Genomic DNA, 27146 nt, shown 5'->3' with positions numbered 1-27146 from the left:
CAACACTTCTTGAAGAGACTATCTTTTGCCCAGTGTGTGTTCTTGGCTCCTTTGTGAAAAACCAGTTGGCTGTAAATGTGTGAATTTATTTCTGGGTTCTCCATTCTGTTTCATTTGTCTATGTATCTGTTTTTATGACAATACTATGCTGTTTTAATTACTATTGCTTTGTAATGTATTTTGAAGATAAGTAGTATGATGCCTCTAATTTTTCAAGTACTCTGCTTGAAGCAGTCAAAGGTAGTTTGGAATTAGAATTGATATAAAGGCACAAGGGCTGAGAAATTTCTTAGCCCTCCCTTTGAGTTTTAGCCAGGGAGGTACAATCCTGGATATTACCCTAGAAGGAGCAGAGAGTAAAACTCTGTTCCTGTAATTCACTATGGAAAAAAAATGCTTCACAGATCTCTCTGGAGCAGGTCTTCTGACATCACAGGGATCAGAAAGTATCACAAAGAAGATGAGTCTTTGTATTGTCTCCATTAGTCTGGGACCCTAGGAGGTTACAATTTATGTAGATGTTTGTGTGTGTTTGTGATTGTGTGTGTGTTTGTGAAGAAGGCCCAGGGAGCAGAGGATGGTCTAGCATCAAGGCCCACTACCACTAGAGCAACATAAGCCTATACACAACTGAGATAGAGATAGATTTTACATATAAATTCACCATGCAATATTCATATGACAGATTTTAGAAATGCAATGTCCCGATCCTTAACAAATAATGATCTACTATTTTAGAGCCGAAAAGCATAATCATATTTATACCAATAAATACGAAATACTAAATTTCAGAGTTAAATATTCAACTGCCATTTAGTGTGTGAGGAAAGCTTTCATCAATGTGTGACATATATCAAAAACTGTGGTAAGGTTTTTCTTTTTTCTTATATTTTTATTCTCTTTTTATGATATTGCAGTTTGCAGATAAAGCTATTTTCAAATAATCAGGAAGTTTAAACACAAAGGCCCAACTGTACTATTTCATGAGGAATCCGAAGCAAAGATTCTATTTTTGGAAAAGAGAGCCAGCAAGAAGGATCAAGTACATCTGTGATTACAATTGCTTTATATTGCTAGAGTGATTAGAATATCTGTTTGAAGAATAGAAAATGCCATGATGTCAGTTTAAACAAAGAAAAAAAATGACAAATAATGATTTCTTGCGTCCTGAAAGTACAAATCCCTCAAGCTGAAATTCCATAGCTAATTCTTTATTTGGAGGGTTTTATATTCTGAAGGAACAGTTACCAAGTATCAATGCTGCCCAAGAGAGGAAAGAGTAATGATTGGGGCACTCTCTAGAATGAGGTCCCTGTTCTTAGATCCACCAGTACCCAGTTGTGCAATCTTAAATTACTTAACCTTTCTGAACATCAGTTTTTCCATCTATAAAATAGCAACAATAATATCTCACTTCTAAGTGTTGTTATGAGAGTCAAATAAAATTATGGATGTAAAATGATTTATTAGTCTTAAATTTGCACAACAATGGAATTTGTTAACACCTTCGTGCAGTGAATAAAGTCTGGGTAAAGAAGGGCTTTGGATATAATTATATAGTAATTATTTCCTGGTTTCTTACTCTTTGTCAGATCCTGAATTCTATAAGCATGTCCCCCACACTAAACTATGGAAAAAACCAATGAAGAGATGAAAATAATGAAAGAAAATGAGAGATAGGACAAGAGACAGCCAAAATTTGATTTGCAGGTAATTGGCTACCCAAAGGAAGAAACCAAAATTAAGCCGAAAGAATAACTAAAGGCATAATAGAAGAGAATAACTAACTAAAGGCATAATAGAAGAGAATAACTAACTAAAGGCATAATAGAAGAGAATAACTAACTAAAGGCATAATAGAAGAGAATAACTAACTAAAGGCATAATAGAAGAGAATAACTAACTAAAGGCATAATAGAAGAGAATAACTAACTAAAGGCATAATAGAAGAGAATAACTAACTAAAGGCATAATAGAAGAGAATAACTAACTAAAGGCATAATAGAAGAGAATAACTAACTAAAGGCATAATAGAAGAAACTTTTTATGAGCTGAATAAAGGGGTCTGCTGATGAAAAAAGTTAATTGTATTTCAGTTAAAGTTAATGAAAAGAGAAAAATATGTAGACAAATCCTAGTGATATTTTTGAATTACATGTACAAAAAAAATTGTACATACAGCTCAGCAGAAAAATCAGGCAACTCACAAAGGAACAAAAATCCCAATCTGATACCAGAACTTTTCTCTGCAATATTGAGCACTGGAAGAAAATGAAGCAGTGTCTACAGAGTTCTGAGGAAAGTAAAGGTTGTGACCTAAGTCACCTTTACCAATTTGAGATATCATTCATATATAAAAGTTTCATTTCACCATGAAGAAGTAACAGCCATGAACTTTTATGCTCTGAATAACAGAAGTAGGAAAAAATTGTTAAAAGTATTACATGATCTAATGATCTACCTGGAATATACACCAGAAAAAAATGGAAGCATAATAAAATAAAATTATATGGGAGTTCTAGAGCTTTTCTAGTTTAAAATATCAGTGCAACAGACAATAATTATTTTAAAAATTAAATATAAATGTTACTAATTATATAGAGAATTAAATCCACAATAGAAATAGAAGACATGAAACATCTAGAAATGATCTTAAAATAATTAATTGAACCTAAATAAAGGGAACTAAAAAAGATAGATGAAAGATTATTTAGAAAATATTGTAATAACTGAAGATCCATCAAGATTTGTAATGATCTCTTAAGAATATTATATATTATATATATATTCATTTTTGTAAAATTAGTTTATAGTTTTAAACAATATCTATGAAGTTCCAAGCTTTCCCTCATTTTCCTGTCTTCTTCTGAGCCCTCCAAGTTCAAATAAAAATATCATAGGAAAAAATTGAATTAAAATTATATTCTAATATTCTTCTGTAAAAACAAACTTTTGATACTTGTAATAGCTAGGAACATGTTGAAGAAGTGAGAAAAGGACATTGCAGAGAGATTTGCTCAACCAGATATTAAAATGACTGTCAGTCACAGTCATTAAGAATTTGGTACTGACGCAAGAATCAATAGAAAGATAAATTGCATGAACTATATTGCTCTGAAAGGGACTTTATTATAAAAACAAAATCAGCAAATTAAAAGTGAATCACCACAAAACAATGGAAACAAAATATTCCTTAAATGATGTCAATCAAAGAAGATAACTATTTGAAAATCTCTTAAGTATATCCTGACCTCAAATCAAATACTAAGGTAAATTTCAAATGTATTAAAGAGCTGAATGTAAAATATAGAAGGCATGAACACTCTAAAGAACACGTAAGTGGAATTTTAACAACATAATGTGCAAGGATATGAATATAATATGATTACAGAGGTATAACATTAATTGAGGAGTCTAAAGGACAGAACCCTTTTGCATTGGTACTTTTATTGTTCCGTTCTCATGCTGCTATAAAAAGCTGCCCAAGGCTTCATACATTTTATAGAAAAGAGGTTTAATTGACACAATTCCACAGGGATGGGGAGGCCTGAGGAAACTTTCAATCATAGCAAAAGAGAAAGCAAACATGTCCTTCTTCACAGGACAGCAGGAAGGAGAAGAATGAGAACCAAGCAAAGGGGGGAAAGCCCCTTACAAAACCATCAGATTTTGGTTGTGAGAACTTACTATCATGAGAATAGCATGGGGGAAACTGACCCCATGATTCAATTACCTCCCATCGGTCCCTCCTACCACACGTGGGGATTATGGGGATTACAATTCAAGGTGAGATTTGGGTGGGAACAGAGCCAAACCATATCAGGCTGAATACTTAAGTTCCCCCAGATTTCCTATATTGACAACCCACCTCTAATTGGGATATTATTAAGAGACAGGACCTTTGTGAAGTGATTAGGATTAGATGAGGTCATAAGGGTGAAGGCCTCATAAATAGGATTAGTGACCTCATAATAGTCAAGAGAGTATATTTCCTTGGTCTACTCTCTGCCAGGTGAACATTAAACAAGAAGTCAGTCAGTGTGCAACTCAGAAGATAAGAGAATCCTCATCAGAAATAAACAATGCTGGCATCCTGATTCCCAACTTGCAGACTTCAGAACTGTGAGAAATAAATTTCCATTGTTTATAAGCCACCCAGTTTATGGCATTTTGTTATAGCAGCCCAAACTGACTAAGATAGTTCTCTATCCCCATTATTTCCTCTAGTCAAAATAATGGACATCTAGTCACCGGATTGTAAAGTGACTTACCCGTTCATTTCATTTCCAGAAAATTGTGTTTGATTAATTTTTTTTTAGTTTTCAAATATACCTGATAGGTGTAATCTCTGCTGATATGTAAATTTAGGTAATATCATATTTTAAAGGTATAATGACAAATTATTGGTGGTGGTATAAAAACTTAAAATTTCCAACGATTAAACAAAGTTAGTGGTGGCTAAATAAAAACAGGACTCTTCCATTTTGCTATTACAATAGGAGTGGAGAGCTGCTGGAAGAAGATTGGATAATATAGTATTGAAATATTTCAACTTTAAACAATTAAAAACTATATTTGTGAAAGTGTCCTTCTCTTAAATCTGGCAAAATTTCTATGGCATGAGGTGTGTCACAGATAAATAAAATCTCTTTTAAAACATCTCCTAATCAAATTGTATCTTTGGATTGTGTTCTTTTGTATCACATCAAATGTTTTGTTTTGGTCCTAGGACTCTCAAAACGTAATCAAAACATTCAAGGGAAGAAAAATCTCTAAATATAAAAGCAATAGGAAAACTCACCTCAAGAAGAACATTGTTTCTATGTTGTTTCTTTGTACGTTAAATTTATTATCTATGCTCCTTATGCTTTCATTACAATGTATTTAGGGACAATTATTTTTGAAGTGAACTTGACACTGTGGAATTTCTTAAGTTCTCATTTTTGAAATATTCCTTTGAATACTGCCATAATATTTATTTAATATAATCTCTCAGAATACTTAATCTCCTCAAATATCTCCTCTTTGACATTTTATTCTCTCCTCTTTAAGTTCTATGGTAGAGCTCCTCATTCTCTTCTTCCTGTAGCAGAATGTTCTGGTTATATTTTATTTATTTATTTATTTATTTTTTTGAGATGGAGTCTCACTCTGTCGCCAGGCCAGAGTGCAGTGGTGTGATCTTGGCTCACTGCAACCTCTGCCTCCCGGATTCAAGCGATTCTTCTGCCTCAGCCTCCCAAGTAGCTGGGACTACAGGCGTGTGCCACCACACCCAGCTAATTTTTATATTTTTAGTAGAGACGGGGTTTCACCATGTTGGCCAGGATGGTCTTGATCTCTCAATCTCGTGATCCACCTGCCTCAGCCTCCCAAAGTGCTGGGATTGCAGGCATGAGCCATTGCACCCAGCCTACTTTAATTTTTTTTCTTATTTTTTGATCAAAGAAAATGTTGATTTTCTCTTCTAGTCCATTAATTATTTGTTTAGTTATGCCAAGAGTAATATTTAACTCACATATTTTGTTTCATGTTAACTATTTTTTTATCTCTATGATTATTGTTTATATCAGTTCATATCATACTCAATTATTGTTCATATTAGTTTGTATATGCTTCTTAGCTTCCTGTTCAACGGACAAAATATTTGTCACTTCTTTTTTTATCTCTAAAATGTATAAACATATGTACAGACATCTTTAAATTGCTCTATTGGCTCTAATTTCTCAAGTACAGTTTATCTGTAAGCTCTTTTACATGGAGTTGTACTTCCATTTATTTCTTTGTTTGCTTATTTAGGAATTTTTATCCTACAGCTCATCTTCCCTGAAAGTTATATTTTTCTTCTATTTTCTCTCATGAATGGCTTGAGCTGTGGAAACAACCCTAGGAGACAGTGTTATAAACTACTTTTTATGTTTGTTTCCAGGCTCAGGATTTTTACATTGAGTCGAGATTGCACACCTGAGCCCAGCTAACTCTGCTGCATAGTGTTTTTCATGCTTTAGGTTTCTTGCAGAAAGTTAATGTTGGGTATTTTGTCCAAGTCTTTATTCCGTCTGGTTCCCTTTTGGGTCTCAATGCATCAACTCTGGTTCAAATTCAAGTCTCAAGACAGTCAAATTACTACCCATCTCCCCATCTTTCTATTATTCTCTCTTACTGCTTTCAGATCCTTACTTTCATTTCACTTAATCAATTTATCCACACGTTCTTTGTTTTTATTTGTGTCATTTGGAATTTGTCTTTTACAACTAGACTGAAAGTCTTATAAAGGGAGGGTCCACACCTATTTCCTTCATTGCTATCTAAATCCTGACAGGTAAAGCTGCTATATTGCCTCAATAAAACAAGGGGCCCAGAGCTTGAATTATCTTGGAAAGTAAAATGCAAATAGTGGTTATCTCTTGAAGTAAATACATAATTTTAATTTTCTTCTTTACATTTACAGTTTCTAAATTTTCCCCAATGACAAAAAAAAGAACAAAACAAAACAGAAAATATATAAATTGGTATTTGATTACACAGCTTATAAACATTATTAATTTTGGCATAATTTAACAAAACCAATGACAAATCTGTAGACCTGCTGATAAAGACATACCTAAGACTTGGAAGAAACAGGTTTAATGGACTCACAGTTCCACACGGCTGGGGAGGCCTCACAATCATGAAGGAAGGTGAAAAGTTCTTTCATGGTGGTGGCAAGAGAGGATGAGAGAGAAGCCAAAGCGGAAACCCCTTATAAAATCATCAGATCTCATGAGACTTACCCACTACCACAGTGGTATGGGGGAAACTGACCCCAAGAATCAATTATGTCTCACCAAGTCCCTCCCACAACATGTGGGAATTATGGGAATTAGAATTCAAGATAAGAGTTAGGTGCGGACACAGAGCCAAATCATATCATTCCGCCCTTGGTCCTTTGCCAAATCTCATGTCCTCACATTTCAAAAACAATAATGCCTTCCCAACAGTCCTCCAAAGTCTTAACTCATTTCATCATTAACTCAAAAATCCACAGACCAAAGTCTTATCTGAGACAGGGCAAGCCCCTTCTGCCTACAAGCCTGTAAAATTAAAAAGCAAGTTAGTTACTTCCTCGAGACAATGGAGGTACAAGTATTGGGTAAATACAACTATTCCCAATGGGAGAAATTGGCCAGAATAAAGGAGCTAAAGGCCCCATACAAGTCCAAAATCCAGCGAGGCAGTCAAATCTTAAAGCTCCAAAATGATCTCCTTTGACTCCATGCCTCACATCCAGGTCACACTGATGGAAGAGGTGGGTTCCCACAGCCTTGGGCAGCTCCGCCCCTGTTGCTTTGCAGGTTATAGCCCGGATCCTGGCTGCATTTACAGGCTGGTGTTGAGTGTCTACTGATTTTTCAGGTGCGACCATTCTGGGGTCTGGAGGACAGTGCTCCTCTTCTCACAGGCCCACTAGGTGGTTCCCCAGTGGGCCCTCTGTGTGGGGGCTCCAACCCCACATTTGCCTTCTGCACTGGCTTAGCAGATGTTCTCCATGAGGGCCCTGCCCTTGCAGCAAACTTCTGCCTGGGCATCCAGGTGTTTCCAGATATCCTCTGAAATCTAGGCAGAAGTTCCCAAACCTCAATTCTTGACTTCCGTGCACCCACAGGCTCAACACCACGTGTAAGATGCCAAGGCTTGGGGCTTGCACCCTCTGAAGCAACAACCCGAGCTGTACCTTGGCCCCTTTTAGCCATGATGGGAGTGGCTGAGACACAGGGCACCAAGTCCCTAGGTTGCACATAGCGGGCAGGCCCTGCATCTGGCCCAGGAAACCATGTTTTCCTCCTAGGCCTCTGGGCCTGTGATGAGAGGGGCAACTGCAAAGGTCTCTGGCATGTCCTGGAGACATTTTCCCCATGATCTTGGAAATTAACATTCGGCTCCTTGTTACTTATGCAAATTTCTGCAGCCAGCTTGAATTTCTGCTCAGAAAATGGGTTTTTCTTTTCTGTCACATTGTCAAGCCGCACACTTTCCGAACTTTTATGCTGATTTCCTTTTAAAGTGGAATGCTTTTAACAGCACCCAAGTTACCTTTTGAATGTTTCGCTGCTTAGAAATTTCTTCTGCCAGACACCCTAAACCATCTCCCTCAAGTTCAGAGTTCCACCAATCGTTAGGGAAGGGCCAAAATGCTGCCAGTCTCCTTGCTAAAACACAGCAAGGGTCACCTTTACTCCAGTTCCCACCAAGTTCCTCACCGCCATCTGAGACCACCTCAGCCTGCTTTTTATTGCACATACCGTTATCGGCATTGTGGTCAAAGCCATTTAACAAGTCTCTAGGAAGTTCCAAACTTTGCCACATCTTCCTTTCTTCTGAGTCCTCCAAATCTCTAGGAAGTTTCTATCTTTCCCACATTTTCCTATCTTATTCTAAGTCCTCCAAACTGTTCCAATCTCTGCCTGTTACCCGGTTCCAAAGTCGCTTCCACATTTTTGGGTATCCTGATAGCAGCACCCCACTACCTAGGTAACAATTTACTGTATAAGTCCATTTTTATACTGCTATGAAGAAATACCCAAGACTGGGTGATTTATTTAAAAAAAAAGTTTAATTGACTCACAGTTCCACATGGCTGGGGAGGCCCCAAGAAATTTATAATCATGGCAGAAAGCAAAGGAGAAAAAGGCACCTTTTTCACAGGGTGGCCGGATGAAGGGAGTGCAAGCAGGGGAAATGTCAGATACCTATAAAACCATCCGATCTTGTGAGAACTCACTTACTGTCATGAGAACAGCATGAAGGAAACTGCCCTCATGATTCAACTATCTCCACCCGGTCCCACCCTTAACACATGGGGATTATGGGGATTTAATTCAAGGTGAGATTTGAGTGGGGACACAGAGCCAAACCATATCAACCCAAATAAATACAATTCAAAAATGTCTCACTGGCATATGATAGTGAAACTGCCATAAGTCACAGACAAAGGGATAATTCTAAAAACAGCAAAATAAAAGCATCTAGTCACATATAAACAAATCTCCATCAGATTAAGAATGGCTTTCTCAGTCAAAATTTTACTGGCCCAGAGATAATGGCATGAGATGTTAAGTGCTGAAAGAAAACAACTGTTATCCAGGAAAACTATATCCAGATCATTTTTTAAAAAATTTAAGTAAATTATTTGCCAAACAAGCAAAAACTGAGGAAATTCATAACCATTAGACTGGCACTACAAGAAATGCTTAATAAAGTCCTAACCTGGAAGAAAAAGGGCAAAATCTACTATCTTGAAAACATATTAAAGTGTAAAACTTACTCTTAAAGCAAACACACAAATGAGTAATAAAAAGTCTCAAATTTTACCGCTACAGAAAGCCACCATACCACAACACTAAACAATAATAGGTTTTAAAAAAGAACAAAGAATACTCAGAACATCCAGGTAAAAATTGCACCATCAGAAAGAAAACCTCATATATCAATAATAACTTTGAATGAAAATAAATTTGTCACTTCAATTATACAAATGGACTGAATGGATTCTAAAAACAAGACCTAACTGTATGCTGCTGAAAAGAAACACGTCACCACTAAAGACACATATAGACTGAAAGTAGAGAGACGGAAGAAAATATTCCAAGTAAAGAGAAACCAAAAGCAAGCAGGTGTTTCTATTCTCATATAAGATAAAACAAACTTTAAATCAAAAACAATAACTAGAAAAAAAGAACATCATTATATACCATGGAACACTATGAAGCCACAAAAAGAATAAGACCGTGGCCTCTGTAGAAACACGGGTGGAGCTGGAGGCCATTAGGTTTGAAAAATTAATTCAGGAACAGAAAACCCAATACCCCACATTCTCACTTATAAGTAGATGCAATTCATTGAGTACGCATGGGCTCAAATGAGGGAATAACAGACACTGGGGTCTATTTGAAGATGGAGGGTGGGACCACACTAATTACCTGGGTGGCAACATTATTTGTACACCAAACCCCCATGAGACACAACTTACCTATGTAACAATTCTGCACATGTATCCCTGGAACCTAAAATAAAAGAAAGAAAATAAATAAATTTAGCAAAAAGATACAACAATTCTAAATATATATATATATAAATATATATATTTATATATATAAAAATATAAAAATGCAAATATATATCAATTTATATATTATATATAAATTTATATATATATCAATTTATATATAATATATAAATTTTATATATATATCAGTTTATATATAATATATAAATTGATATATATATATCTACCCAACACTGGAACACACAGATGTAGAAATCCAATATTACTAGATCTAAATAAAGAGATAAGACTCAATGACAATAATAGTGGATAAATTTAACACATAACTCTCAGCATTAGACAGATCATCTAGACAGAAAATTAACAAAGAAACATTGAGTTTAAACTACACTTTAGACCAAATTGACTTAACAGATATTTACAGAACATTATATCCAACAGCTACAGAATACACATTCGTTCTATGAGCACATGAAACATTCTCCAGAATAGAACATATTTTAAGTCACAAAACAAGTCTCAATCAATTTTTTGAAGTTGCAATTATATTAAGTATCTTCACAGAACTTCAGAAATTATACAAATACCTAAGAATTAAACAACATGCACCTGAATAACTATTGGGTCAACAAAGAAATTGAGATTAAAATCAAAAATATGTTTGATATAAATAAAAGTGAAAACACAATATAACTAAACCTATGGGATACAGCAAAAAGCAGTGCTAAGAGGGAAGTTTATAGAAATAAGTGCCTACATGAAAAGTAAAAAAATTCAAATAAACAATTTAAAGATGCATTTCAAGGAAGTTTCAATGTAAGAACATATCAATCTAAAATCATTAGAAGGAGAGAAATAATAAAGATCAGAGGAGAGCTAAACAAAATAGAGACTAAAAAGGCAATACAAAAAATCAACAAAATGAAAAGCTGTTTTTTTAAATCCATAAAACTGATAAAACATTAGCTAGAGTAACCAAGAAAAAATATCCAAGTAAACAAAATTAGAATTGTTCTTTCTAACTCATTCTATGAGTCCAGCATTCTCTGCTATCAAAACAAGACAATAATACCACACACACACACACACACACACACACACAATAAAAAATAAAAAAAATAAAAAACACTACAGGTCAATATCCCTGAAGAATATAGATGCAAAAATTCACAACAATATACGAGAAAACCAAATCCAGCCGTACATCAAAAGATAATACACCATGATCAAATGGGATATATTTCAGGGAGGCAAGGATGATTTAACATACACAAATAAATAAAAGTGATGCATCACATCAACAGAATATAGGACAAAAACCATATGATCATCTTAACAGGAGCAGAAAATGCACTGAATAAAATTCAACATTTCTTCATGATAAGAACTCTCCACAGGGAGCAAGATGGTGAAACAGAAGGCTCCACTGATCATCTGCCCTGCAAGGACACCAATTTAATAAATATCTACACAAGAAAAGCACCTTTATGAGTTCAAAATGAGGTGAGCACTCACAGTAACTTGTTTTAATTGTATACCACTGAAAGAGGCACTGAAGAGGTAGGACAGTGTTGAATCACTGGCGCCACCTCTCCTCCAATCCCTATAGTGGTGGCATGGTGTGGAGAGTGTTTCTGCACGCTGGCTGAGGGAAAGCACTGCAATTGTGAGACACTGAACTCTGTGCTGTCTGTTATAACAGAAAGGAAATTCGGAACAAACTCAGCTGACACCCTTGCAGAGAGCATTGAAACCAGCCCAAATCAGAAAAGAATGACTGATCTCAGTGGTCAGAAACTGAGTTCCTACATGCCTTGTCAGCACAGGATAAAGTGCTCTGGGGCCCTACTAAACTTGAAAAGCAGTCTAGGCAGCAAGGACTGCAATTTTGATGTAAGACCTATTGTGGAAATGGGCCCAGAGACAGTAGGCCAGGTGGGCATGCCATCTACAGAGACACCAGCTTGGGTGGCTACAGGAGTGCTGGCATCACCCTTCCCCCAAACCCAGGTTGCACAGCTCATGTCTACAATAGAGACAGCTTCCTTCCACTTTAAGAAAGAAGAGGAAAGAGTGGGGAAGACTTTGTCTTGTATCTTGGATACCAGCTCAGCCACAGCAGGACAGGGTACTGCTCAGTGTTCCAAAGCCTGCTTTTAAGGCCCTGACTCCTGGATGACATTTCTAGGCAGCCTCTGGGCCAGAAGGGAACCTGCTGCCTTGAAGAGAAGAACCCACTTTTGGCAGGATTTGTCACCTGCTAACTGAAGGGCCTTTGGGCCCTGAATAACCAGATGTGATACAAATGTATTATGTAAAGGGCCATGGGTGAGGCACTGAGACCTGCTGGCTTCCAAAGAGACTCAGCACATGCACAGCTGTGGTGAATATGGGGTGAGACACCTTCTGATTGAGTTCAGCAAAGTAGAGCACCAAGTGGGCACCTGGGGTCTCCAATTCCAGAACTTGGGTCTTGGATGGCATTTCTGAACCTGTTGTGGGACAGAGGGGAGCTCACTGCCCTGAAGGATGAGTTCCATGTAAGGCAGCATTCACCACAAGTTGACTCAAGAGCCCTTGAGCCTTAACGGGACATTGGTAGTAGTCTGGCAGTACTATCCATAAACCTGTGCTGGTGTTGGCCATGGGGTGAGGCTCCACTGCTTTTGGAAAGTGGAGGAAAGAGTGGGAAGAATTGCATCTTGTGGTTTGAGTGCTAGCTCAGCTGCAGTACAAGAGAACACCGGGTAGACTTCTAAGGTTTTAAACTTTAGTCCCTGGCTCCTGGATAGCACTTCCCGACCCCACCAAAGACTGGGGTAGCTTGCCACTCTGACGGGAATGACATAAGCCTGGCTGGCTTTGCCACCTGCTCATTGTAGAGCTCCAAGGTCTTGAGCAAACATAGGTGGTAACCAGGGAGTGGTTACAGCAGGCATTGGGTGAGATATCGAGTGCTGTGCTGGCTTTAGGTCTGACCCAGCGTGGTTGTAGGAAGAGAAAATATTGGCCACGCTAACACCATTTTAAAATATGCCTCCGTCTATAAAAGGCAGGGGCACCTAAAGTGTAAAGGTAAACACCTTGTGTAAGATTTTGCTAAAAGCCTAGAACTTAACTCAAATCCTGGAACACATTCCTGGAAACTGCTCCTGGAACGATTGTTCAAGTCCCCCGAGTATGTCCCGCAACACTGCTCCCAAAACACCACTCCCGGAGCAATTGCTTAAATGTTGCTTGCTCGGGAAGGGCCCTCCCAAGGAAGCAACAGAGGGTGTCCAAGGTAAGAACTGGACTAATAAAAGGAGCTTACACGAAGGAGGAGCTGAAGGCTGCTGTGTTGTCGTATGCTGGGGCATGACCCAAGTCCGACTGCAGGATCCCGGGCGTCCGCCTTCTGACTCCGGTGATGACCCTCCTGTGGTCTGGTAAGCTTTGGTTACATTTTGTCTTCTCTTCTTTTAAGGCTGTTTTTGCTGTGACGTTTGCTTAAAACTTCGACTGCAGGCTCCCAGGCATCTTCCTTTCGACTCTGGTGATGACTCTTCCTGCAGTCTGATGAGAATCGGTTACATTTTGTCTTCTCTTGTTATAAGGTTGTTTTTGTTGTGATATTTGCTTATAGTAATAAAGTTTTAGTTTTCCTCTCCCTCCCACTTGAGTGTTTGAGTTGTCCTTCCTACACTGTCCTGAAACAGTAGTCATAGTGGTGGTGGCTACAAGGGCGCTTTGATCACTCTACCCCCAGCTTCAGGTGGCTCAAAACAGAGAGAGATTTCGTTTGTTTGAGAGACAGTAAAAGGGAATAGAAACAAAAAAAAAGTCTGTGCTTAGTAATCCAGCGAATTCTCCTGGATCTTGTTGAGAATCATGAAAGTGGTAGCTATATAAGTCTGCAAGAACCACAGTGTTACTGGGTTTGGGGTGCTCCCTAAAGAAGACACATCTTAGATCACAACAGCCAAGTCCTTTTGAATATGTGGAAAGCCTTTCCAAGAAGCATGAGTACAAAGAAGTACAGTCAGTGATGACTATGATACATGCCAAACTCTTTAATGCCCTGACATAGGTGACCATCTACAAGTATCAAGACATTCCAGAAGAAAATAACCTCAACCAATGAACTAACTAAGGTACCAGGGACCCACATTGGGGAAAAAGAAATACGTGATGTTTCAGAGCATTCAAAACATCCGTTTTGAGATAGCTCAAAAATAATATAACACAGAGAATGAACTCAGAATTCTATCAGATACATTTTTCAAAGAGATTGAAATAATTAAAAAAATGATCAAGCAGGTATTATGGATCAGAAAAACAAAATTGGCATAGTGAAGAATGCATCCAAGTCTTTTAATAGCAGAGTTGATCAAGCAGAAGAAAGAATTAGTGAGCCTGAAGACAGGCTATTTGAAAAGATACAGAGGAGATTAAAAAAGAATAAAAAACAACGAAGCATGCTTACAGGATTGAGAAAATAGCCTCAAAAGGGCAAATCAAAGAAAGAAAGAAAGAAAGAAAGAAAGAAAGAAAGAAAGAAAGAAAGAAAGAGAAAGAAAGAAAGAAAGAAGGAAAGAAAAAGAAAGAAAGAAAGAAAGAAAGAAAGAAAGAAAGAAAGAAAGAAAGAGAGAGAGAGAGAGAGAGGGAGGGAGGGAGGGGGAGGGAAAGAAAGAGAAAGAAAGAAAGAAAAGAAAGAAGAAAGAAAGAAAGAAAGGAAGGAAGGAATGGGGGGGAGGGAGGGAGGAAGGAAGGAAACTTCTCAAACCTAAACAAATATATCAATATTCAAGTAAAAGAAGGCTATAGAGTATCAAGTGGATTTAAACCAAAAAAGATTACCTCAAGTCATTTAATAATCAAACTACCAAAGATAAAGGAGAAAGAAAAGATTCTAAAAGCAGCAAGAAAAAAGAAATAAATAACATTCAATGGAGCTCCAATATGTCTAGCAGCAGATTTTTCAGTGGAAAACTCACAGGCCAGGAGAGATTGACATGACATATTTAAAATATTGAAGGAGTAAAACTTTTACCCTAGATTAGTTTATCTTCAGAAAAAATCCTTCAAATATGAAAGACAAATATAGACTTTCTCAGACAAACAAAAGCTGAGAGATTTCATCAACACCAGACCTGTCCTGTAAGAAATGTTAAAGGGAGAAATTCAATTAAAAAATAGGATGTTAATGAGTGGTCATAAGTAATCATCTGAAAGTACACAACTCACTGGTAAGTACACAGAAAAACACAGGATATAATAACACTGTAACTATGGTGTCTAGACTACTCTTATCCTAAGTGGAAAGATTAAACTATTCACCAATCTAAAATAATAACTATAACAACTTTTCAAGATATAGACAGTACAATCAGATATAAATAGAACACCAAAAAGTTAGAAAAGTGGAGGTATAAAGTTAAGGCATAGAGTTTTTATTGGTTTTCTTTTTGCTTGTGTTTTTTATTACGCAAACAGTGTTAAGTTGTTATTGGCTTAAAATAATGAGTTACATGAGTTATAAGATAGTATTTGCAAACCTCATGGTAACCTCTAACAAAAAAAAACATGCAACAGATACACAAAAAATAAAACAGAAAGAAATTATTATGTCACCAGAGAAAATCACTTTTATTAATGAAGACAGGAAGGAAAGAAAGAAGGAAGGAAGAGAAGATCACAAAACAACAAGAAAAAGAAATAAGAAAATGGCAGGAGTAAGTACTTACTTATCAATGATAACATTGAATGTAAATTACTAAACTTTCCAATCAAAAGAAACAGAGTGGCTGAATGGATTAAATAACAAGACCCTTTAATCTGTGTCCTACAAGAAATGCATTGTGCCTATAAAGACACATGTAGACAGAAAATGAAGAGATGGAAAAAGATATTCAATGTCAATGGAAACAAAAAAAGAGCAGGAGTCACCATACACATGTCAGAAAAAAATACATTTCAAGATGAAAACCATCAGAAAAGAAAAAGAAGGTCACTATATATATAAAGGGGTGCAATTTAGCAAGAGTATACAACAATTCTAAATATATATATGTGTGTGTGTATATATACACATATATGTGTATATATATACATATATATGCATGTATATATATACATGTATATGTGTATATGTATGTGTATATATATATACACATATATATGTATGTGTATATATATATACACATATATATGTATGTGTATATATATATATACACATACATATATATATATATATATATCACCAGATCATTCAGATATATAAAGCATATATTATTAGAGCTAAAGGGAGAGATAGGCTCCATTACAACAATAGCTGGAGATTTCAACACTCCACTTTCAACACTGGACAGACCTTGAAAATCAACAAAGAAACATAGGACTTAATCTGCACTACAGAACAAATAAACCTAATAGATATATATGAATCATTTTATCCTATTGTGGTAGGATACACACTCTTTTCCTCTGTTCAAGGATCATTCTCAAGGATAGACCATATGTTAGATCACAAAGAAGTCTTAACACATTCAAAAAAATTGAAATAATAATATCAGTATTTTCTCTACCCACAAAGGAGTAAAACTAGAAATCAATAACTAGAAATTTTGAAATCTATACAAATACATGTAAATTAAACAATATCCTCCTGAATGACCAGTGAATAAATGAAAAGGGAAATTTAAAAAATTCCTGAGACAAATGAAAATGAAAACACAACATTCTAAAACCTATGGGATACAATCAAAACAGTACTAAGAGGGAAGTTTATAGCTACAAGTACTTACATCAAAAAAGTGGAAAACCTTCAAATAAACAACTTATCCATAAAAGAATGAAAAAACAAAAGCAAACCAAACCCAACATTAGGAAAAGAAATACAAAGATCAGAGCAGAAATAAATGAATTTGAAATGACAAAACAGTACAAAAGGTCAAAGAATGAAAAGTTGTTTTATTGAAAAATTAAACAAAATTGACAAACTTTTAGTGACATTAACTAAGACATGAAAATAAATAAAATCAGATATGAAAAAGGAGAAATTACAGTTGATACTGCATAAATTCAAAGGATCATTACTGGCTACTATGAGCATCTATACACCAATAACTTGGAAAATCTAGAAAAAGTAGACAAATTCTTAGACTTATATAACTTACCAAGACTGAACCATGAAAAAATCCAAAACCTAAACTGATCAATACCAAGTAACAAGATCAAAACCATAATAAAAAAATCTCCCTTATAAGAAACTCTCAAGAACTGATTATTTTACTGCTGAATTCTACCAAACATTTAATAAGAACTAATAGCATTCCTACTCAATATATTCCAAAAAATAGAGAAGGGAATACTTCCAAACTCATTGTATGAGCCCAATATTACCTTGATACTGAAAGCAGACAAAGACACATCAAAAAAAGAAAACTACAGGCTAATATAACTGTTGAATATTGATGCAAAATCGTGAACCAAAATACAAGCAAACCAAATTCAACAATACATTAAAAATATCATTCATCAGAACCAAGTGGAATTTGTCTCTGGAATTCAAGGATGGTTCAATATATGCAAATCAATCAACATGACACATTGCAACAACAGAATAAAGATAAAATCTATATGATCACTTAAATTGATGCTGAAAAAGCATTTGATAAAATTCAACATCACTTCATGATAAAAACACTAAAAAACAGGGTATGGAAAGAACATATCTCAACATAATAAAAGCCATATATGACAGACACACAACCAGCACTATACTAAATGAGGAAAAACAGAAAGCTTTCTTCTAAGATCTGGAACACAACAAGGATGCCCCCTTTCACCACTGTTATTCAACATAGTTCTGGAAGTCTTAGAGAAATCAGATAAGAGAAAAATATAAAGGGTATCCAAATGGGAAAAAAGGAAGTCTAATTATCATTGTTAGCAGATGATATGATCTCATATTTGGATAAGCCTAAAGACCCGCAAAAAATATTCAAATTGATACACAAATTCTGTAAAATTGCAGGATAAAAAATCAACATAGAAATATTAGTAGCATTTCTATATGTCAACAGCGAACAATTCGAATAAGAAATCATAAAAGTAATCCCATTTACAATAGCCACACATAGAATTAAATGCCTAGGAATTAACTCAATCAAAGAAATGAAAGATTACTATAATAAAAAGTATAAAATGCTGACCAATGAAATTGAAGAGGACACAAAAAATGGAAAGATATTCCATGTTCATCAATTAGAAGAATCAATACCAAAATGTCTATACTACTCAAATCAATCTACAGATTCAATTCAATTCCTATCAAAATACCAATGACATTTTTCACAGAGATAGAAAAAACTATCCTAAAATGTATGTGGAACCATAAGAGACCCAGAATAACCGAAGTTATTGTAAGAAAAAAGAAAACTGGAGGAGTCACATTACCTGACTTGCAATTATACTGCAGAGCTGTAGTAACCAAAATGGTATGATACTGGTGTAACAACTTACGCATAGACAACTATAACAGAATAGTGAATGCAGAAACACATCCACACAGCTACAGCAAACTTACTTTTAACAAATGGGCCAAATACATACACTGGTAAAAAAAAAAAATAGTTTTTTCAGTCAATGGTTCTGGTAAAACTGAATATTCATATGGTGAAGAATGAACTAGACCTCTATCTCTCAACATATACAATAATCAAATCAAAATGAATTAAAGACTTATATCTAAGACCTAAGACTGTGAAACAACTACAGTAAAACTTTGGGGAAAATCTCCAGGACATTGATCTGGGCAAAAATTTCCTGAGTAGTATCCCACAAACACAGGTGTCCAAAGCAAAAGTAGCCAAATGGGATCATATCAAGTTGAAAAGTTTCTGCACAGCAAAGGAAAGAATTAACAAAATGAAGAGACAGCCCACAGAATGAAAGAAAATATTTGCAAACAACCCATCTGACAAGGGATCAATTATAAGAATATATAAGGAGCACAAACAATTCTATAGGAAAAAAAATCTAACGATTTAAACAATGGACAGAATATATGAATAGACATTTCTCAATAGAAAATATACAAATGTCAAAGAGGCATATGAAAACTTGCTATGCATGTAACAAAATATTACATGAACCCTCATTAATATGTACAAATATTATGCAGCAGTTAAAATTGCTTTTAAATACATGCAATATATATTTTTGTATTTAAAATTCACTCTCAGCAGTTAGATATATAAAATTAATTTTCATACTACAAATTCTCAAAAATGCTACATCTTGTAAACTGCATCAAAAGTCCAATTTACCTACTCATTCTGAGTGGTAAGAAAGGCATTATCTTTATATGTTAGTGAAAATATTACACGTATACCATTAAATGATGTCCCATGAAACCACAATGTTCACAGTTTTTGGTACTTGATGCTATTATTGGCTTTAGTTTAGTAAGAATCCTGAAGGGACATAAGGGCATATTACTGGGAATTAATCACATTTGCAATAAATAAATAGAACTTACTTAACAATCTGTAAAGAGATTCTCAAAAATCAACGCTGGATAGAAAGCATGGCTTTTTAAAGGAACTACGCATGTATATATGATGATTCTTTGCTCTCTCAAAGTCATGAAATTTGCTGTTATTATTCATCTAGTCTACTTTCTGAGAGCTATGCCAAGTTCCAGCGTAATTTCCGTTGCCTTTCTGCAAAATTTACCATTTCTAGTCAGGCCAAATTTAAATTTACTATAATCAAGATTCTATTCTTTTTACTCTTTCACGTGACCACTTTTTAAGCTTGCTCGGCTCACCATTCTGGCTGTAATAAAGATGTAGGACTCCAGTCTTCATTTTGAAAGCTAATCCCAAATGCTCCCTTTGATTTGCAAAATCACTTTCGAACTGCTTTTCTGCAATTAGGGAATTTTTTATTGGATTCATTTGCCAAGAGCTCTTATTTCATACTGCTCAGATATTGGAAAAAAAGATTTACCCTCTTTTTTAACTATTTGTTAACATAGTTATATTATCCGATTTATTACCAAGTTTAGGAGTTTCTACTCAGAATAAATTATTACTCTAGTTACCTTGTAGGGTGCTTCGGGTTCGGTTTAAGTGCTAAGTCACTTATAAATTCTTTACTTCTCCCTCAGTTAGAATGTGCTTGGGAAAGGCAAGCAAAATCTTACCTACATGAGTAAATGGAGGTAAGATCTCCTAACACATCATTTAATAGTCCTAGTCTAAGAATTTTACTAACATAGAAAGGTAGCACCTTTTAGTAGGTAAAGTGGACCCTTAATGTGGCTAAAAAGACAGCATTTTTGAGAATTCATAGTGTACCAATTAATTTTACATTACAACCTTTCTAGTGTATTTTAAATATATCTTGAAATTGTTTATTTTCAGATAATTATAAACTGAAGCCGATAGTAGCATCAAGAGTAAAAACTGTGAATTTTGGAACTTCACGGACTGGACAATAGAAAACACCATGCCGTCGTGCAAATCATGTCATAAAAATATTTGATGACATGGGAAAATGAACAGAGTTTATTATATGCAAAAGTCAGGTTACTAAACAATATATATTCCCAGTCTAATTTCAAACATCATTCCAATGTTTTCAAAACTCTACTGTGAGTGCCAGACCAGCTACATGATTTGTCAAGCAGAGTGCAAAATGAAAATGTGAGGCCTCCTACTCAAAACTTATTAAGGATATCAAGAAGGTAACAGCAGTACATTAAACCAAGTGTCCTTCTAAACATGGCGCTCTGTGCATCTACATAGGTTGTGAACCCATGTTCTGTTTTATATACGCGTATGTATACATACATATATATACATACACATTACATCGACTATAAATATATACACCCAAATGCCTACATTTTATGACATATCTTTGAGCGGTGAAATTACAGGTGATTTTAATTTTCTTCTTTGTTCTTATCTAAGTTTTACACATCTTTGACAATGAAAACACTATTAAAGTGATTAGGAAAAATAGTGACACTTGTTATCATGAAAAGATGATACTTTTAATCAAAGGCAGGGCAATGTTCTGGAAGTAAAAGTACCTAGTGTTTTTGTCTCCATAAAATGTGCCAGACAAGTGTTAGGTACTTTATATGTCATCTCCTGCCATTCTTTACCCTGTGGGGTAATATTTATTTTTCCCTTTTACAGGTTCTAAGTTTTAAAGTAACTTGTTGAGTCATATGAGGAGGATTGAGGCTTAATAATAGAAATCCATGCTTCCCCATCATCATATGAAGCAAAAGTCAGAAAAGCTGACTGAGATTTAAATATCTTTAAGCTTTTATTTTTTTTATCTATAAAGTGGATACTATATGATGATAACACTTCTGCTTAATGAACAGCACAGCCACGGAAAGCAATAAAAAGATGTGCTTTGATAACCATAACAGCCCTATGCTTCTTTGTTCAAGAAGTCATTTAGTTGGCCAGGCATGGTGGCTCATGTCTGTAATCCCAGCACTTTGGGAGGCCGAGGTGGGCGGATCACGAGGTCAGGAGTTCGAGACCAGCCTGGCCAATATGGTGAAACCCTGTCTCTACTAAAAATACAAAAATTAGATGGGAGTGGTGACATGTGCCTGTAGTCCCAGCTACTCAGGAGGCTGAGGCAGGAGAATCGCTTGAACCCGGGAGGTGGAGGTTGCAGTGAGTGGAGATCTCGCCACTACACTCCATCCTGGTGACAGAGCGAGACTCTGTCTCAAAAACAACAACAACAAAAATGTCATTTAGTCTTTTGCTTGTGTTTGTGTAACAAAAACTGAAAGCCATGTCATACCAGCATATGTAACATGTATTCCTGTGGCCTGGGAATTTACACCCAGGAACAGGTTTTACATCCATGATGAGTAACTTGGGCGAAAATTTTAAGTTTGTTCCTCTATTGCCCATCTTCTGAAGTCATCCTCATCCAATAAAAGAACAAAGGGTGATCTGGGATTTAAAGCCATAGGCCGTTTGACCTCAGGTAGAGTCACTCGATCATGACTCTGTATCTTGATTTGAATCAAACGATGCTCTTTACGGCAGATAATCCAAGTATTTCAGTCCAGGAGTGCATCACCAGGGAAAGAGATATGTAGCAATGTCCTTAACATTATGATGATTTTATTAATGCTTTGATTAGTAGCAGCTGGAATTTAAAACACAAAAAGTTAATAAAAGAGTAAGCATGAACTTAAAATATGTATACAAAATGCCCTCCTTAAATATGCCACTAAATTTTGGATTTGAGGTTTGAGAGGACTATAAGAAACAATATTTTTCATCACAATTGATGGTTACTAAATCTTCCTCTCAAATGCAATTGCATCAAATATATTTGGGTATTATAAGACCTTCCAAATACTAGGGGCAGAAACTTACTCTGATTGAAACATCAGTCCTCTTCCAACTCAGCTAATTAAACATGAAAGAGGAGCATGTTCAATTGAACTTTAAACATTTACTTACGTCATACACTGGCTGGTTGGTAAGAATACAGCTGGTAGAGCCCAACCGAGGACCAAATGGACCAAAAGTAGCTAGCAAAATCCTCTTCCCCTCGCTCCTTCCCTCTTTCTCCCTTTTCTTTCTTCTCATACCTTCCCTTTTCTCTCTCTCCCCACTCTCCTTTTTCTTTTTCATTTCCTTTCCCTTCTTCCGTCTCTACATCCCTCACTGTTTCCCTTACTCTCTCTGTTTCTCTTCTTTCCAATCTTTTATTCCATCTATATCCCTCCTTCTTCTGCTCACTTTCCCTCTCTTCCCCCTCCCACCCTGCCTCTTTCAACACCCCTTCTTCTTTTACTCTCTACCTCCTTGATCCCTGTGCCATCTTCTCTCTATTCCTACTTCTCCCTCCCTCTGCCTCTCCTTCTCTTGCTCTCTTTCCCACACCCTGCCTACCCTGCTTCCTTCCTCTCTCTCCATCTTCATTTCCTCTAGATGTCCACTCTAGGCTTTGATAAATGGCCTAGACTTCAGCTTTTTTCCAAGAAGCCTCATATGTCTTTTTCACCTACCCATCATCTTTTTTTCTTAATTTATTATTTGGCATATGCTATTTTTCTTTCTTGTCCCATTTAATTTCATGCTGTATGTCTTTTTCCTTATCCCTCTAGGAGAAAATACATCCACCTGCTCAGTTCTTTTGGTTTCATAATTCCTCTACCTTTTTTGAACAGCTTCCATTATCTCCTATTTGTTACTAAACAAACAGGAAATAGCTAAACAAAAATTAATTTGCTATCACTACATCATCTTAGAAAGAAAGCTAGGACTAAAAAAAGGACTTTTCTAAAATGTGTTTTCTTCATGGCCTTTGTAATTTAAAAGAGATGTAAAATTTGATAATTAGGGATAATAAGCAAAGTTATCAGAACTTAAAAATAAAAGGGGGTTAAACAGTTACAAAATAGTTAATGCATGAGCCACAACTCTGTACCATTACCACTTGGCAGCCATTATCATTTCCCAGCTTAACAAAAGTCTCTAAGAAACTGAAAACCAGAAGTTGGAAATTATAATAAGGGTCACAGCTTTTCTGGAAGGATGAGGGCAAAGAGGCATATTTGAATTTAAACAGACAAAATGCTAGATAAATGCGGAAGATTTTATGTCCTAATAGAGTAGAAAAATACCAAGAGAATTGGGGTACTGTGTTTTCTCAGCAGTCAAGTAAAATTTTAGGTGAGAAAAGAGGGAAAGCAAACAATAAAATGTATCCTAATAATAGAAATCAGTATTCAGCTTCTGAATAGAATATCCACGTGACAACTGAAAAGACGTAATCCAAGCTTAACATCTGAACCCTAAGCATAACCAGGAACATGAACTAAAAACAAAACCAGCAAGCAAACAAACAAAAACCAGGAGAGAATTGATTCTCAGATTTTAACTAATTTGGAGTCAAGATCTAATTATTTTAGCAGCAGAGAACACATGCACAAAAAAAGTTCCTAGCCATCGTGTAAAATTACTGTAGATACTTAAGAATGACAATTAACAATTGTCCTGCCACATATATAGGCAAGTGGGAGATTACACTGGAAAGACAAGTAGTGAAGGGACATAAAAGTGACAGCACCGAGTGCTCAGCCAGTGCCCATAGATGATGTTGAATTATGGGCAAGTAAGAATTTGAATTATGCTTTATTTTCCAATTTTTTCTAATTTACATATCTTTTTATTTATCCCAGCTGGAGTGATAGATGTCTATAACTTTTCCAGTGCACCCTTCTTTTTATGAACAGTTTTACTTATAAAATATTGTGAGCAGAGAGTATACATATAAGACTGATACATGTGGAATTTATTTGCTGCTGCATTGAGACACCATAGTGCTCACTCATACCAAGGGGATTTTTAAAAATTTAAGTTTTGTGGATACATAGTAGGTGTATATAAGGTGTATATATGTATGGGTACATGAGAAGTTTTGATACAGGCTTGCAACATGTAATAGTCACATCATGGAAAATGGGGTATCCATCCCCTCAAGCATGTATCCTTTGTGTTACAATCCAATTATACTATTTTAGTTATTTTGAAATGTATAGTTAAGTTATTATTGACTATAGTCACTCTGTTGTCCCAGCAAATACTAGGTCTTATTCATTTATTCTAATTAATTTTTGGTACACATTAACCATCCCCACATACTCCCCATTCCTCCACTACCCTTTTCAGCCTCTAGTAAGCCTCCTTCTACTTTCTATATCCATGAGTTCAACTGTTTTGATTTTTAGATCCTAAAGTGAGAACATGAGCTGTTTGTCTTTCTATGCTTGGCTTATTTCACTTAATGTAATGACCTCCAGTTCCATCCATGTTGTTGCATATGACAGGACCTCATTCTTTTTTATGGCTGAATAGTATTTCATTGTGTATAGGTACCAGATTTCATTTATTTATCTGTTGATGGACACTTAGGTTGCTTCCAAATTTTGGCTTCTGTGAATAGTGCTGCAACAAACATTGGAGTGCAGGTATCTCTTCAATATACTGATTTCCCTTCTTTTGAGTCTATACCTACAGTGGGTTTGCTGGATCGTATAGTAGCTCTATTTTTAAGTTTCTGAGTAACTTTCATTTTTGGTGTCCTCTTTAATTTCTTTCATCAGTGTGTTATAGTTTTCACTGTAGCTATCTTTCATTTCTCTGGTTGATTCCTAGGTATTTGATTTTATTTGTGGCTGTTATAAATGGCATTATGTTTTTGTTTCTTTTTCAGATTGTTCACTGTTGCTATATAGAAATGATACTGAATTTTGTATGTTAATCTTGTATCCTGCAACTTCATTGTTTATCAACTGAATTTGTTTATCAGTTCTATTTTCTGGCAGTGTCTTTAGGTTTTTTTTCCAAATATAAGATCATATCATCTGCAAACAAGGATAATTTGACTTCTTCCTTTCCAATTTGAATCCTCCCTCCCTCCCTCTGGGACTTCTAGTACTATGTTGAATATCAGTGGGGAAAGTAGGAATGCTTGTGTTATTCCAGACCTTAGAGGAAAGGCTTTCAGTTTTTTGTCATTTAGTATAGTGCTAGCTGCAAGTCTATTGTGTATGGTTTTTATGTTGAGGTATGCTTCTTCTCAGTTTTCTGAGGGTTTTTTTTTTAATCATGAAAGCACACTGAATTTTATAAAATGTTCTTCATCATTAATTGAAATAGTCATGTTTTTTGTCCTCCATTTTGTTGATATGATGTATCACATTGATTGATTTGTGTATGTTGAACCATCCTTGTATCCCAGGAATAAATCATACTTGGTCACGATAAATTATCTTTTTAATGCATTGTTGAATTCAGTTTGCCATTATTTTGTTGAGGATTTTTGCAATATTTGTCAGAGAGATTGGCCTGAAGTTTTCTTTTTTTGAGGTGTCTTTGTTTTGTTTTGGTAACAAGGTAATACTAGCCTATAGAATGAATGTGGAAGTATTCTCATCCCCTCTGTTTTTAGAATACCTTGAGTAAGATTGGTATTATTTCATTAAATGCCTGATACAATTCTGCAGTAAAACCACCAGGTTCTGAGCTTTTCTTTACTGGGAGACTTTTTATTATGGCTTCCTTCTTGTTACTTTTTATAGGTTTGTTCAAGTTTTGGATTTCTTCATGGTTAAATCTTGGTAAGTTGTATGTATCTAGAAATTTGTCCACTTTTTCTAGATTTTCTACTCTATTAGCATACAATTGCTCACAGTAGCCAGTAGTAATCCTTTGAATTCCTGTAATATCAGCTGTAATGTCTTCTTTTTCATCTATGATTTTATTTATTTGGGTCTTATTTTTTCTTAGTTAGTCTGACTAAAGGTGTATCAACTTTGTTGAACTTTTTGAAAAACCTGATTTTTGTTTCATTGATCTTTGATATTGTTTTCTGGTGGTAGGATTTAATTTTTTATTTTTATTTCTTGTGCATCCATTGTATAAGTTTGCTTTAAGGTTACCATGAGGCTTGCAAACAGTATCTCATAACCTATTATTTTAATGTGATAACAACTTCATGCTGTTTGCACAATCAAAGAAATAAGCAAAAAAAATACTAATAAAATTTCTACACCTTGATTTCATTCCCAGGCATTTTGACTTTTGTTGTTTCTATGTATAGCCCCTTGTATTGTCCACGTCTTGAAAAGTTGCTGTGTTTATTATTTTTGATTGGTTCATTATTTAGTCTTTCGATGTAGGATAAGAATTGTTTACACACCACAGTTACAGTTTCATAATATTCTGTGCTTTTCTGTGTACTTACTATTGTCAGTGAGTTTTGCACCTTCAGGTGATTATTCATTGCTCATTAACATCCTTTTCTTTCTGATTGAATTAGTCCCTTCAGCATTTCCTGTAGGACAGATCCGGTGTTGATGAAATCCCTCAGCTTTTAGTTGGGAATGTTTTTATTTCTCCTTCACGTTGGAAAGATATTTTCACTGGATATGCTATTCTAGGGTAAAAGTTTTCCTTCAGCATGTTAAATATGTCATGTCACTTTCTCCTGCCTGTAAGGTTTCCATTGAAAAGTCTGCAGTCAGATGTATTAGAGCTCCATTGTATGTCAT

The 27146-nt window shown here is 35.5% G+C and overlaps 1 long non-coding RNA gene across 1 annotated transcript; it reads right to left on the bottom strand.

Annotated features, from left to right (window-relative positions):
• Positions 1-6405: 6405 nt before the first annotated feature.
• LOC101928808 (uncharacterized) lies at positions 6406-13582 on the bottom strand. Its single transcript, XR_244519.1, has 2 exons — positions 13359-13582; positions 6406-10043 (listed from the first exon to the last, which is right to left on the bottom strand). It is a non-coding gene; the product is annotated as an uncharacterized LOC101928808 (long non-coding RNA).
• Between the last annotated feature and the right edge of the window lie 13564 nt (positions 13583-27146).

This window comes from Homo sapiens, chromosome X (genome assembly GCF_000001405.40).
Source record: "Homo sapiens chromosome X, GRCh38.p14 Primary Assembly".
Lineage (NCBI taxonomy): Eukaryota > Metazoa > Chordata > Mammalia > Primates > Hominidae > Homo > Homo sapiens.
The sequence above is the reverse complement of the archived record's forward strand: the minus strand, read 5'-3'. Positions and strand labels throughout refer to the sequence as shown.